At 48.5% G+C, this 14,775-nt stretch overlaps 3 annotated features.

The window, feature by feature from the left end:
- Positions 7,584–7,783: an enhancer, noted in NCBI's record as "active region_29590". NCBI's record gives its function as "activates an Ori minimal core promoter by ATAC-STARR-seq in GM12878 lymphoblastoid cells {active_cell/tissue: GM12878}" and the evidence as "EXISTENCE:reporter gene assay evidence [ECO:0000049][PMID:35858748]".
- Positions 11,909–12,238: an enhancer, noted in NCBI's record as "active region_29591". NCBI's record gives its function as "activates an Ori minimal core promoter by ATAC-STARR-seq in GM12878 lymphoblastoid cells {active_cell/tissue: GM12878}" and the evidence as "EXISTENCE:reporter gene assay evidence [ECO:0000049][PMID:35858748]".
- Positions 12,359–12,458: an enhancer, noted in NCBI's record as "active region_29592". NCBI's record gives its function as "activates an Ori minimal core promoter by ATAC-STARR-seq in GM12878 lymphoblastoid cells {active_cell/tissue: GM12878}" and the evidence as "EXISTENCE:reporter gene assay evidence [ECO:0000049][PMID:35858748]".

Below are 14,775 nucleotides of genomic sequence, written 5' to 3' on the forward strand. Positions count from 1 at the left end.
CAGCCTCCCAAAGTGGTAGGATTACAGGAGGGAGCCACTGCGCCCGGCCTCCGGGTGTTTCTTGATGATGGGGCGATGTGATGAGGTCCCCCTACCCGTGCCTTCTGGCTGCCCAGGTGTCTCTGCAGGGAAGCAGAATCCCAGGCCTGCAAAGCCAGTGGGGCTTCTTGGGCCAGGATGCTTGTTGTAGTTGGGTCCCCTTGCTGGTGATGCCTGTTTGCCCCGGTGCCTCTGAGCAGGAGAGGGATTTTCTGAGTCTGGTCACCTGCTGTGGTTATATCATTTCTGCCAGTTTCACCTACTAGTCCCAGGCTTCCTGTTGGGAGAAGGGAGTCTCTGGTCTTCAAGGCACCTAAGTTAAGGGATTGTCCAGGCCTGGCCTCTTGCTATGGCTGTGTCTTTTTGATGCAGTACAGGTTGTCTCTATCCGCCTGGGCAGGGTGGGGTCGGGGGGAGGTCCCTTGTTGGGGAGGCTTATCCCTGGCCCTGTGGAGAAGGACAGCACTTTTCATGACCACTTATTGTTAGTGGGTTCCCGATCCACCCCCTCACTGTTGGTGTTGGGTTTACCTCACGTTATCAGAGGGACTTCCCTTTCATCCAGGGGAGGAACTAGCCTATCGGGGCTGCCTTCCATGGCTTGGATCAGGGTCACGAAATGCTGGGCTTGAGTTGCCTTCTTCTGGTGGGTGGGGGGACATAAGATGCCCTGTAGTAGTGCTGTTTCTCCAGTCTTGGAATCCTAAATGAGTTCACTTTCTTTTTCTTTTTTTTTTGAGATGGAGTTTCACTCTTGTTGCCCAGGCTGGAGTGCAATGGCACGACCTTGGCTTACCGCAACCTCCACCTCCCAGGTTCAAGCGATTCTCCTGCCTCAGCCTCCCGAGTAGCTGGGATTACAGGCATGCGCCACTATTTCTGGCTAATTTTGTATTTTTAGTAGAGATGGGGTTTCTCCATGTTGGTCAGGCTGATCTCAAATTCCCGACCTTAGGTGATCCGCCTGCCTCAGCCTCCCAAAGTGCTGGGGTTACAGGGGTGAGCCACTGCACCTGGCCAAGGAGTTCAGTTTCTTCTTGCCGCCATGCATAGTTTCCCTTTGGTTGTCTCTTGTACTATTTCCAGGGTTGATAGTTGTGCTCAGCAGGAAGGAGCAGGGAGAAATAGGTCTATGTTATCTTGTCCAGACTGGAAATCTCTATTTTTTAACCACCAATGCCTCTCAGGTCTGACCTTAAACCCTCTGTTAATTATTCCATCAACAATGCCTATTCTTTTTTTTTTTTTTTTTTTTTAAGACTGAGTCTCACTCTGTTGCCCAGGCTGGAGTGCACTGGCACGATCTCGGCTCACTGCAAGCTCCGCCTTCTGGATTCACGCCATTCTCCTGCCTCAGCCTCCCCAGTAGCTAGGACTACAGAGGCTCACCACCACGCCCGGCTAGTTTTATTTTATTTTATTTTATTTTTGTATTTTTAGTAGAGAAGGGGTTTCACTGTGTTAGCCAGGATGGTCTTGATCTCCTGACCTTGTGATCTGCCCGCCTTGGCCTCCCAAAGTGCTGGGATTACAGGCATGAGCCACCGCACCTGGCCTTTTTTTTTTTTTTAAGATGGAGTTTTGCTCTTGTCCCCCAGGCTGGAGTGCAGTGGTATGATCTCAGCTCACTGTAACCTCTGCCTCTCAGGTTCAAGCCATTCTCCTGCCTCAGCCTCCTGAGTAGCTGAGATTACAGGCATGCGTTACCATGCCGAGCTAATTTTTGTATTTTTAGTAGAGATGCAGTTTTACCATGTTGCCCAGGCTGATCTCAAACTCCTGACCTCAAGTGATCCACCTGCCTCAGCCTCCCCAAGTGCTAGGATTACAGGCTTGAGCCACCACACCCGGCCTCTCTTTTTTTTTTTTGGAGTCGGAGTCTCGCTCTGTCGCCCAGGCTGGAGTGCAGTGGCATGATCTCAGCTCCCTGCAAGCTCCGCCTCCCGGGTTCACGCCATTCTCCTGCCTCAGCCTCCCGAGTAGCTGGGACTACAGGCGCCCGCCACCACGCCCGGCTAATTTTTTTTTGTATTTTTAGTAGAGACGGGGTTTCACCATGTTAGCCACGATGGTCTCCATCTCCTGACCTAATGATCCGCCCGCCTCGGCATCCCAAAGTGCTGGGATTACAGGCGTGAGCCACCGCTCCCTGCCTTTTTTTTTTTTTTTTTTTTTTTTAGAGACAAGGTCTTGCTATGTTGGCCAGGGTAATCTCAAACTCCTGGCCTCAAGCAATCCTCCTGCCTTGGCCTCTGAAAGTGCTGGGATTACGGGTGTGAGCCACCATACCCAGCCCACAATGCTACTGTTGTCTGTCCTTGAATATGGGCTTCTGTCAGCAATTCACCCATCTTTCATACATCTTTAACTCTGGCCTCTATTAACTCTTATCATTCATGGTCCTCTGGTCTACAATACAAAATCATGTCTCTCTCAGCTTGATGTGATTTAGGAAAAACCAAAAGTACTTTTCCTACTCCTTTTTTTTCTTTTTTTTTTTTGTAACAGGTTCTCTCTGTCACCCAGGCTGGAGTGCAGTGGTGCCATCATGGCTCATTGCAGCCTCAACATCCCAGCTGCCAGCTCAAGTGATCCTCCTACCTCAGCTTCCTGAGTAGCTGGGACTACAGGCGCTCAGCTAATTTTTTTTTTTTTTGACGGAGTCTCGCTCTGTCCCAGGCTGGAGTGCAGTGGCGCAATCTCGGCTCACTGCAACCTCCAACTCCCTGGTTCAAGGGATTCTCTTGCCTCAGCCTCCTGGTAGCTGGGATTACAGGCACATGCCACCACGCCCAGCTAATTTTTTTTTTTGAGACAGTATTTCGCTTTTTCGCCCAGGCTGCAGTGAAATGGCATGATCTCGGCTCACTGCAACCTCCGCCCCCCAAGTTCAAGCGATTCTCCTGCCTCAGCCTCCCGAGTAGCTGGGATTACAGGCACGTGCCACCGCGCCTGGCTAATTTTTGTATTTTTAGTAGAGACGGTGTTTCACCATATTGGCCAGGCTGGTCCTGAACTCTTGACCTCAGGTGATCCACCTGCCCCGGCCTCCCAAAGTGCTAGGATTACAGGCGTGAGCCACCACGCCCAGCCGCTAATTTTTTTTTTAAGAAACGGTACATTAGGGCCGGGCACGGTGGCTCACGCCTGTAATCCCAGCACTTTGGGAGGCCGAGGCGGGCGGATCACGAGTTCAGGAGATCGAGACCATCCTGGCTAACACGGTGAAACCCTGTCTCTACTAAAAATACAAAAAAAATTAGCCGGGCGTGGTGGCGGGCACCTGTAGTCCCACCTGCTGGGGAGGCTGAGGCAGGAGAATGGCGTGAACCTGGGAGGCAGAGTTTGCAGTGAGCCGAGATTGCGCCACTGCACTCCAGCCTGGGTGACAGAGCAAGACTCTGTCTCAAAAAAAAAAAAAAAAAAAAAAAAAGAAATGGTACATTAGGCTGTTCTTGCACAGCTCTAAAGAAATACCTGGGGCCATGTGCAGTGGCTCATGCCTGTAATCCCAGCACTTTGGGAGGCCGAGGCGGGCAGATCACGAGGTCAATAGATGGAGACCATCCTGATCAACATGGTGAAACCCCGTCTCTACTAAAAATACAAAAATTAGCCAGGCATGGTGGAGCGCACCTGTAGTCCCAGCTACTCGGGAGGCTGAGGCAGGAGAATCACTTGAACCTGGGAGGCAGAGGTTGCAGTGAGCTGAGATTGCACCACTGCACCCCAGCCTGGCGACAGGGCGAGATTCCATCTCAAAAAAAAAAAAAAAAAAAAAAAAAAGCTGGGCTCGGTGGCTCACGCTGTAATCCCAGCACTTTGGGAGGCCGAGGCGGGCGGATCACGAGGTCAGGAGATCGAGGCCATCCTGGCTAACACAGTGAAACCCCATCTCTACTAAAAAAAATACAAAGAAATTAGCCGGGCGTGGTGGCGGGCGCCTGTACTCCCAGCTACTCGGGAGGCTGAGGCAGGAGAATGATGTGAACCAGGGAGGCGGAGCTTGCAGTGAGCCGAGATCTTGCCACTGCACTCCAGCCTGGGCAACAGAGCAAGAGACTCCATCTAAAAATAAAAAATAACAGTAAAAATAAAGAAATACCTGAGACTGGGCAAAGAAAAGAGGTTTAATTGGCTCATGGTTCCACAGGCTATACAGGAAGCATGGTGCTGGCATCTGCCCAGCTTCTGAGGAGGGCTCAGGAAAATTACGATCATGACAGAAGGTGAAGAGGAAGCAGGCACGACTTAAATGGCTGCAACAGGAAGAGAGAGGGGGAGGTGCTACATACTTTTAAATAACCAGATCTTTTGATAACTCACTCACTCACTATCGAGAGAACAGCACCAAGAGGATGATGTTAAACCGCTCATGAAGGAACACCCCTATGATCCAATCAACTCCCACCAGGCTCCACCTCCTACTTTGGGGATTACAATTCAACATGAGATTTGGGAGAGGACACAGATCCAAACCATATCAGATGGGGGTCTCACTACGTTGCCCAGGCTGGTCTCAAACTCCTGGCCTCAAGTGATCCTCCTGTTTCAGCTTCCAAAAGTGCTGGGATTACAGGAGTCAGCCACTGTGACTGGTCTCCTTTTCCTACACTCCACTCTCACTCAGCACTTCTGATACCAGATGTGTGGAGGTTCCCCAGTGCCCCCTGCCCCCCAGCAAATTTCTGGCACATTCTCCAGCAAACACCAGTTCAGTGTCCTCTAATTCAATTCCATTCCAACATTACCTACCTGGAAGTCAGATCCCCTAGAGTTATAGTAGGCAGCTAGTTAGGCATGAGCAGGGCAGGAGAAGGCTTTCCTCCCACACCTAGGACCAGCAATGTCAGGTGACCATCAGGTGATGGTCTCAGTATCATGGGCTCAGTATCACAAAACCTCCCCCAACTTCAGATGCCAATGGCAAGCACAGGTTGTGACCTATGCTTCTTCTTCTTCTTTTTTTTTTTTTGATGGAGTCTCTCTCTGTTTCCCAGACTGGAGTGCAGTGGTGCTATCTCGGCTCACTGCAGCCTCCACCTCCCAGGTTCAAGCGATCCTCCTGCCTCAGCCTCCTGAGTAGCTGGAACTACAGGCACGAGCCACCTCACCTGGATAATTTTTGTATTTTTAGTAGAGATGGAGTTTCACTCTGTTGGCCTGGCTGGTCTTGACTCCTGACCTTAAGTAATCCATCTACCTCAGCCTCCCAAAGTGCTGGGATTATAGGTGTGAGCCACCATGCCCGGCCCCAGGCTAGTCTTGAATTCCTGGGCTCAAGCAATCCTCCCACCTCGACCTCACAAAGTGTTTGGATTACAGGCATGAGCCACCGCTGATGCTTTTGGTTTTTTATGGAGGCTTCATTACCTAGACATGATCGGTTAAACCATTGGCCATTGGTGATCAAGTCAATCTTCAGCCACTCTCCCCTCCCAGGAGGTTGGGGGTGGGGCTCAAAGTCCCAACTCCCTATTTAGTTGCTCAGCCCCCAACCTGAAGCTATCTAGAGGCCCCCAGCCACCAGTCATCTCATTAACAAGCAAAAGACACTCTTATCATTCTGGATATTCCAAGGGTTTTTGGAGCCATTTGTCCGGAAACTGGGACAAAACCAAATATATATGCCACAATATCACTCAGCTCCATCACCATCAATGGCATGTTATTGAGGCTGGGTGCGGTGCCTCACCCCTGTAATCCTGGCACTTTGGGAGGCCAATATGGGAGGATCACTTGAGCCCAGGAGTTTGAGACAAGCCTGGGCAACGTGGCAAAACTCTGTCTCTACAAAAATTAGCTGGGGTGTGGTGACTTGCACCTGTAGTAGCAGCTACTCAGGAGGCTGAGATGGGAGGATCACCTGAGCCTGGGAGGTCAAGGCTGCAGTGAGCTGTGGTCATGCCACTGCACTCCAGCCTGGGTGACAGAATGAAACCCTGTCTCAAAAAAAAGTCATGTTGTCTAGAATTGTGCCATCAGATAAGGCCGAAATAGCCACATGGTTATTGAGCACTTGAGGCTAATGAGGCCAGGTACAGTGGTCATGCCTGTAATCTCAGCATTTTGGGAGGCTGAAGCAGAAGGATTGTTTGAACCCAGGAGATCGAGGCTGCAGTGAGCTATGATTGTACCACTGCCCTCCAGCCTGGGCGACAGAGCAACACCTTGTTTCCAACAAAAAACAAAACAAAACAAAACAAAACAAAAAACTATGAGGCTAATCAGATTGAGGAACTGAATTTCTAAATTTATTCATTTTAGTTAATTTAACATTTAAATTAGATACTCACACACCCACTATGTACCCACAAAAGTAAAAAATAAAAAAAATTAACACACACACAATAAAATAGATAATTAAATTATTGGAAAACTTTTAAAGTATATTTGGAATGACTTGTGAATTTGTTGTTGTTTGTTTATTTATTTCTAGAGACAGGATCTTTCTTTGTTGCCCAGGCTGGAGTATGGTGGCACAATCATAGCTCACTGCAGCCTGGAACCTCTGGCCATAAGCCATCTCCCCTCCTCAGCCTCCTGAGTAGCTGGAACCACAGGGGAGCACCACGATGACTAGCTAATTTTGTTTAGTTTTTGTAGAGACAGGGTCTCACTGTGTTGCCCAGGCTAGTCTGGAACTGCTGGCCTTAAGCAATCCTCCCTCCTTGGCCTCCCAAAGTACTGGGATTACAGGCATAAGCTACTGTGCCTGGCCACTTGTGAATATTTTTGTTTTTGTTTTTTGAGAGAGTTTCGCTCTTGTTGCCAGGCCAGAGTACAATGGCATGATCTTGGCTCACCGCAACCTCCACCTCCCGGATTTAAGCGATTGTCCTGCCTTAACCTCCCAGGCACATGCCACCACACCCGGCTAATTTTTTGTATTTTTAGTAGACACGGGGTTTCTCCATGTTGGCCAGGCTGGTCTCAAACTCTTGACCTCAGGTGATCCACCCACCTCGGCCTTCCAAAGTGCTGGGATTCCAGGCGTGTGCCACCACGCCAGGAATGTTAACCTATGTTTTCAACTAAATTTTGTGAAATCTAAGTACAAATCAAGTATTTCTGATGAAAATTTAGCTTTCAAAATTGAGATGTGCTGTCAGTGTAAAATACACATCTGATTTCACAGTGTTATTACCACAAAAAGAATGCCAAATATCTAGGTAATTTTAAAAATTTATTACCTGTTGAAATAAGAATGTTTGGTTAATGTAGTTCAAACAAAGTATGTTATTAAAGTTAATTTAACTTATTTCTTTTCCTTTTTGTGTCATCTGTCTGCAACCTCTCATGTTACATCTCCTCCCTGTCTTCCACTTGGGTTGGAAATTGAGGCTCCTGTTCTGTGTCAAAGTGATTTAGTCTCTCAGGCATTAAGATGCTTCATTCTTAATGATGTAATTTGAACCGCAAAATTATTTCGCCTAGTGACAAGGATGTTCGCATTTCATTGGCCATGGAGACTAAAGCTTGCCTCCCACACAGAGCCATTGGCTAGCTGCACCATCTCTCCAAAGCAACCTCGGGCTGTGCCCCCACCCACTTCAAATACCTCCAGCTGTGCTATTTACCTGCACCCTCCCCGTCAGGCTATGTCCGTCCTGCCCCTTCCTTGCACTGGACAATGGGGACTTCTGCTGATTTACAGATCAGGCAGCCTCATATTGACCTGGGAGACCAGAGCCTGTTTCTTATATTCAGCCATTAGCTAACTGCGCCTTCTGTCCACAGCTTCTCAAGCTAGGCTTTGGCTGCCTCGCTTCACATGGCAACGGGGTTAGTTACTACCTAGTAACAGTTTACCATGACTGCCATAGGCTGAAGAGACTAAAGCCCATCTTCTCGTGCATTCATTGGCTAACTATTTATAGCAACTCAGGTCCCTTTCACCCTGCACATAGCAACAGGGGCTTCTCCCTAGAACAGGCTGCTACTTCATCCCATTGGCCACCAGGAACCAGATCCCACCTCCCCGATGCAGCCACTGGTCAGCTGCACCATCTGTCTACAACTCCCCAGATTTGGTCTAGACAAGAAATCTCAAACTGCTGGTTTCTATGAACTCTGCTGCCACCACTGCTCATCTGGCTGGACCTCGAACTTGGTCATTTGTTATCTAATCCACCGTCAATAACTCCCTTGTCAAAATCTAAAATCTGGGCCCCTGTTAACATTTTCACCACTTCTGGACCAACTTTAAACCCCATCTTTTTTTTTTTTGGTGAGACAGTCTCGCTCTATCGCCCAGGCTGGTGTGCAGTGGCGCGATCTCGGCTCACTGCAACCTCTGCCTCCCGGGTTCAAGCGATTCTCCTGTCTCAGCTTCCCGAGTAGCTGAGATTACAGGCGTGAGCCACCACACCCAGCTAATTTTTGTTTTTTTGGTAGAGACAAGGTTTCACCATGTTGGCCAGGCTGCCCGCTTCGGCCTCCCAAAGTGCTGGGATTACAGGCGTGAGCCACCACGCCCGGCTTCCCAGCAGTATTTAGTCTGACCTCAATCTAGTGCTCTGATAACTCTTCCACCATCACTGCCTTTCTGCAGCTTAGCATTCAGCCTTTAACTATTCCCCCAGCAATACCCCGCTGACCTGAAGCCTGAATCAGGCCTATTCATTTTTCCACCGTCAATACATACTAGGACTGATCTCAAACTTCACCTCTGTGAACTCTTCCAACATTAATGACCTTGATAAAGACTACCAAGGTCACATCCATAGTCGCAAAAGAGATGGGTTTATTAACCTGCTGCGGCAAGGAAGACCACGCCCCACAGGAACTGTGGGGATGTCTCACCTAAGGTAACTTAACTTGTTCCAGTTTGCCCAGGACTTTCCTGCTTTTAGTACTGAATGCCCTTGTCCCAGTAAACCCTATTCCTGGGCAAACAGAGTTGGTTGATCACCTTAGTGTCAATGAACAAAGGAAGAAATGGGATTAGTATAGGATATAGGAGTGGAGTTTAGGTAAAGTTTAAATGAAGCAGTGTTTTGACAAGCCCAAAGCAAAGGAGGTTGGTATGGAAAAGGATTAACATTAGGTTCAGACTGTGAAGCAGACCTAGGGTCCTTTTTCTTTAGAAACACAAAAGAAGCTGGGCGCAGTGGCTCACGCCTGTAATCTCAGCACTTTGGGAGGCTGAGGCAGTTGGATCACCTGAGGTTAGCAGTTGGAGACCAGCCTGGCCAACTTGATGAAACCCTGTCTCTACTAAAAATACAAAAATTAGCTGAGTGTGGTGGCACATGCCTGTAATCCCAGCTACTCGGGAGGCTGAGGCAGGAGAATCGCATGAACCCGGGAGGCGGAGGTCACAGTGAGTGGAGATCACACACTGCACTCCAGCCTGGGCAACAGAGCGAGACTCTGTCTCAAAAAAACCCACAAAAGATAGGCTGCGTGCAGTGGCTCAGGCCTGTAATCCTAGCACTTGAGGTGGGTGAATCCCTTGAGCCCAAGAGTTTAAGACCAGCCTGGGCAACACAGTAATATCTTGTCTTTACAAAAAATGAACAAAGGTAGCCGGGCGTTGTGGCGTGTGCCTGTAGTCTGTCAGCTACTTGGGAGGCTAAGGTGGGAGGATCACTTGAGCCTAGGAGGTTGAGGCTGCAGTGAGCTGTGATCATGCCACTGCACTTCAGCCTGGGTGACAGAGTGAGACCCTATCTCAGAAAAAAAAGAAAAGAAAAAAAAACACTAAACATAGATGTGAAGTTTTGGCTTCAGATACCCATTATCTGAAGCTCTGCACCTGGGTCAGAAATCAAGGCTGTTTCTCTGTGTCAAAGTAACTTAGATCCTCCAGGGAAGAGTAGGAGGTTTTATTCTTATTGATATTATTTCAAACAGGAAATTTTCCGATAGTCTATGATTTTAGATAACAAGGTTTCTCTGCAGGGCTAGGACTAGGGTAAGGTGAGGGAGGCATTCGCCTTAAGTGTAAAATGTAAGGGGGTACCAAAAAAACTCAGTAATCAAGATCAATACCATTTGACTGATTGAGACAGTGTTTCGCTCTGTCCCTTAGGCTGCAGTGCAGTGGTGCGATCATGGCTCACTGCAGTCTGGACCTCCCAGGCTCAAGAGATCCTCCCACCTCCTCACCTCCTGAGTAGCTGGGACTACAGGTGCGCGTCACCATGCGCAACTAATTTTGTTTATTTTTTGCAGAGACAAGGTATGTTGCCCAGGCTGGTCTCAAGTGATCTGCCCACCTCGGCCTTCCCCCAAATTCTGGGATTACAGGCGTGGACTATCGCGCCCAGCCAAGATCAATAACATTTTTTGTTTGTTTGAGATGGAGTCTCGCTCTTTCACCCAGGCTGGAGTGCAGTGATGTGATCTCGGCTAACTGCAACCTCCACCTCCCGGGTTCAAGCTATTCTCCTGTCTCAGACTCCTGAGTCACTGGGACTACAGGCACGCACCACTATGCCCGACTAATTTTTGTATTTTACTAATACAAGAGATGGAGTTTCACCATGTTAGCCAGGTTGGTCTCGAACTCCTGACCTCAGGTGATCCACCCACTTTGGCCTCCCAAAGTATTGGGATTACAGGTGTGAGCCATGGCGCCAGGCCTCCTCCCCTCCCCTCCCCTCTCCTCTCCTTTCCTTTCTTTTTTAGACAGGGTATCACTCTGTTGACCAGGATGGAGTGCTGTGGTGCGATCTCTGCTCACTTGCAACCACTGCCTCCTGGGTTCAAGCCATCTTCCCACCTCAGCATCCTGAGTAGCTGAGACTACAGATGCACACCACCACACCCGTTAAGTTTTGTATTTTTGGTAGAGAAGGGTTTTGCCATTTTGCTGAGGCTGGTCCTGAACTCCTGACCTCAAGCGATCCTCCTGCACCCTCTTCCCAAAGTGTTGGGATTACAGGCATGAGCTGCCGCGCCTGGCCGCGCCTGGCTGTTTTCTAAGCATTTTTCTTTTTTTAAAATAAATTGAAATGTGGTCTCACTCTGTCACCCAGGCTGGAGTGCAGTGGTGCAATCATAACTCACTGCAGCCTCTAACTCCTGGGCTGATGCGATCCTCCCACCTCAGCCTCTTGAGTAGCTAGGACTACAGGCGTGTGCCACCACACCTGGCTAATTTTTGTATTTTTAGTAGAGACGAGTTTCATCATGTTGCCCAGGCTAGTCTCGAACTCTGGATCTCAAGTGATCCGCCCACCTCAGCCTCCCAAAGTGCTGGGATTAGAGGTATGAACCACCGCGCCAGGCCTCTAAGCATTTTTCTATTGATAATTTGCTAAAAAAACATTAGTTGCCCATGGCCGGGCACGGTGGCTCACGCCTATAACCCCAGCACTTTGGGAGGCTGAGGCAGGCGGATCACCTGAGGTCGGGAGTTCAAGACCAGCCTGACCAACATGGAGAAATCCCGTCTCTACTAAAAATACAAAATTAGCCGGGCGTGGCGGAGCATGCCTATAATCCCAGCTACTCGGGAGGCTGAGGCAGGAGAATCGCTTGAACCCGGGAGGCGGAGGTTGTGGAGAGCCGAGATCGTGCCATTGCACTCCAGCCTGGGCAACAAGAGTGAAACTCAAAAAAGAAAAGAAAAACAAACAAACAAACCATTGGTTGTCCATATCAAAGGCTATTATTCCTAACTACTATCATTGTAGTGGGGCAAGGAGGGTAACGGAGATGGGGGGAATTCAAGTCTTCTCCATGGTAACTGCAGCACATCGAGAGATTGTACACCCTGACTCCTTTCCCCTCTTCTCCAGTGGTATCGCCCACGACGGGCACCTGTGTTAACCTGATTACTCCTCCTCTTCCCAGTGGTATCGCCAAGGGGGGGATTGTACCACCCTGACTTCTTCCCCCTCTTGCCCAGTGGTGTCTCCCTTGAGCATCAGAACACGCCCCCCTCCTCCCTGGGTAGGAGGCGCACCTCTGCTTCTTTAAACTTTGCCCAAACTTATAGAACCGAGTTCCAAAGACCAGCTTCTCCCAGAATCTTGCCCTTAGAGGGATTCTACCCGTGAACGCCCTCTCGCCCCCGCCTTCTGTGGAACAGCCCACTGTACGGAATGGGTGCTAAGATGGCGGCTCCCAAGAGACACGACATAGCGCAGCCATATTCCTCGCCTGACAACGCCACTCATGGACCAAGTCTCCGCCGATCCGTAACAGCGCTGTGTTCAGTGAGTAGACTACAATCTCTCAGTCCTAATGATCGTGTGCAAAATCAACAGCCCTAGAAGGTGCAGTGTCAGGGGTGAGGACAGGAAACGGAAATCCCCCTCAGAGGCCGTTTAAGTCTTCTTGGCGCGCGATGCTAAATGCAGTGCACGAGGTTTTATGGCGTGATAGTCGCTCAGGTGATTTTGAGGTTTTGTTGGCTTCGGGGGATGATGCATTGGCAGTTGTGGTGTCAATTGGTGGGGAAATAAAGAACCTAATGAATGGGAATCTATGAGTGTCAGGGATGAGGGCCTCTGGAGTAGTCAGGTTTTAGATTCCCTGCTGTGTCTTGATGTCCAGCCTTAATAGTGTGCGCTTTAGGTTTTTCCTTTATCAGTATTCCCAGAGGTTTGCTAATTTTATTAGCCTTTCCAAAAAAACAACTTTTGACCTTGTTGCTCCTCTGATCACAGATCTCTTCTGATGTACCTTCGTTTCCTATTTCTTTAATTTCTGCTCTTATCTGTACCGTTTTCTCTAACTTCTTAAATTGGATGTTAATTCATTAATGCTCAGCCTTTCTTTGTTAAAAAAATTTTTAAGAGCATGCGTTTTTCCTTAAGAATCTCTTTAGCTGCAATCAAGAATATTTTGTATACACCATCTTTTCTTTCTTTCTTTCTTTCTTTTTTGACGGAGTCTCGCTCTGTCGCCCAGACTGGAGGGCAGTGGCGCGATCTCCACTCACTACAACCTCCGCCTCCGTTTCCAGCGATTCTCGTGCCTCGGCCTCCCGAGTCGCTGGGATTACTGGCGCACGCTACCACGCCCAGCTAATTTTTATATTTTTAGTGGAGATGGTGGTCTTGCCATGTTGCCCAGGCTGGTCTCCAACTCCTGGATTCAAACGATCCACTCGCCTCAGCCTCCCAAAGTGCTGGGATTACAGGCGTGAACCACTGCCCCAGGCCGACTATTTTATATTAGTCAAAATTTTTTTCTTTTTGTAATCGTATAGGCCCACCTCCTTAAAATGTTTATTCTGGCTGGGCGCGGTGGCTTACTCCTGTAATCCCAGCACTTTGGAAGGCCGAGGATGGCGATCGGTTGAGTCCAGGAGTCGAGACCAGCCTGGGCAACGCAGGGAGAACCCCGTCTGTACAAAAAAAAAAAAAAAGAAAGAAAGAAAGAAAGTAAGAAAAATTAGCTGGGCGTGGTGGAGCGTTCCTGTAGTCCCAGCTACTCCAGAAGCTGATGTGGGAGGATTGCCTGATTCCGAAAGCCGTGATTGCACCACTGCACTCCAGCCTGGGTGACAGAGGGAGACCTTGTCTCAAAAAAAAAAAAAAGTTATACTTACACTTACGTATTTTATATAGTTTTTGCTATCATTATTTATGCAATTTTGTTTCCATTGCCTCATTGTTATTATAGAGAGAAACTATCTGCTTTTGGCCAGGTGCGGCGGCTCATGCCTGTAATCCCTGCGCTTTGGGAGGCCGAGGTCGGAGGATCACGGGGTCTGGAGTCTGAGATCAGCCTGACCAACATGGTGAAACCCCATCTCTACTAAAAATACAAATATTAGCTGGGTGTGGTGGTGCATACCTGTAATTCCAGCTACTCAGGAGGCTGAGGCAGCAGAATCGCAGAAGCGCTTGAGCCCAGGCAGAGGTTGCAGTGAGCCGAGATCGTGCCACTGCACTCCAGCCTGGGCGGCAGAGTGAGACTCCGTCTCAAAAAAAAAAAAAAAAAAAAAGAAAAGAAACTATCTGCTTTTGTAATTTTACCTTGTATCCAGCCCCTTACATTATATTATACCCTATTAATTTTAGTAGTCTTTTAGCAGTCTGGTAGGTTTTCCATGTATAAAATCATCTTATTGGATAGAAAGCTACATTTTCGTTTTCATTTCTTCCCAATGTTCATGTTCACCCTAATTATTATTTTCTTTTTTCTTTCTGCCTTTTTTTCTTTTTCTTTTTCTTTTTTTTTTTTTTTGTTTTGTTTTGTTTTGTTTTTGGGGTGGAGTCTTGCTCTGTCACCCAGGCTGAAGTGCAGTGGCGTGATCTCGGCTCACTGCAGTCTCTGCCTCCCGAGTTCAAGCAATTTTCCTGCCTCAGCCTCCTGAGTAGCTGGGATTACAGGTGTGTGCCACCATGTCCAGCTAATTTTTGTGTTTTTAGTAGACACGGGGTTTCACCATCGTCTTGAACTCCTGACCTGCTGACCTCAGGTGATCAGCCTGCCTTGGCCTACCAAAGTGCTGGGATTACAGGCGTGAGCCGCCTCCTCTGGCCTCTTTTTTTTTTCTTTAATAGAAACAAAGTGTCACTCTGTCATCCAGGCTGGAGTGTAGTGGAGTGATCTCAATGCACTGCAACTCTGTGTGTGTGTTTTTGTTTGTTTGTTTGTTTTTTAAGGATACTGGGTTTTGCCATGTTGTCCAGGTTAGTTTTGAACACCTGGGCTCAAGGGATCCTCTTGCTTTGGCCTCCCAAAGTGTTGGGATTAAAGCCGTGAGCCACTGCACCTGGCCTGATTATTTATTTCTTTTCTCTTCTTTTCTCCTTTCTTCCCTCCTTC

Source organism: Homo sapiens, chromosome X (genome assembly GCF_000001405.40).
Source record: "Homo sapiens chromosome X, GRCh38.p14 Primary Assembly".
Taxonomy (NCBI): domain Eukaryota; kingdom Metazoa; phylum Chordata; class Mammalia; order Primates; family Hominidae; genus Homo; species Homo sapiens.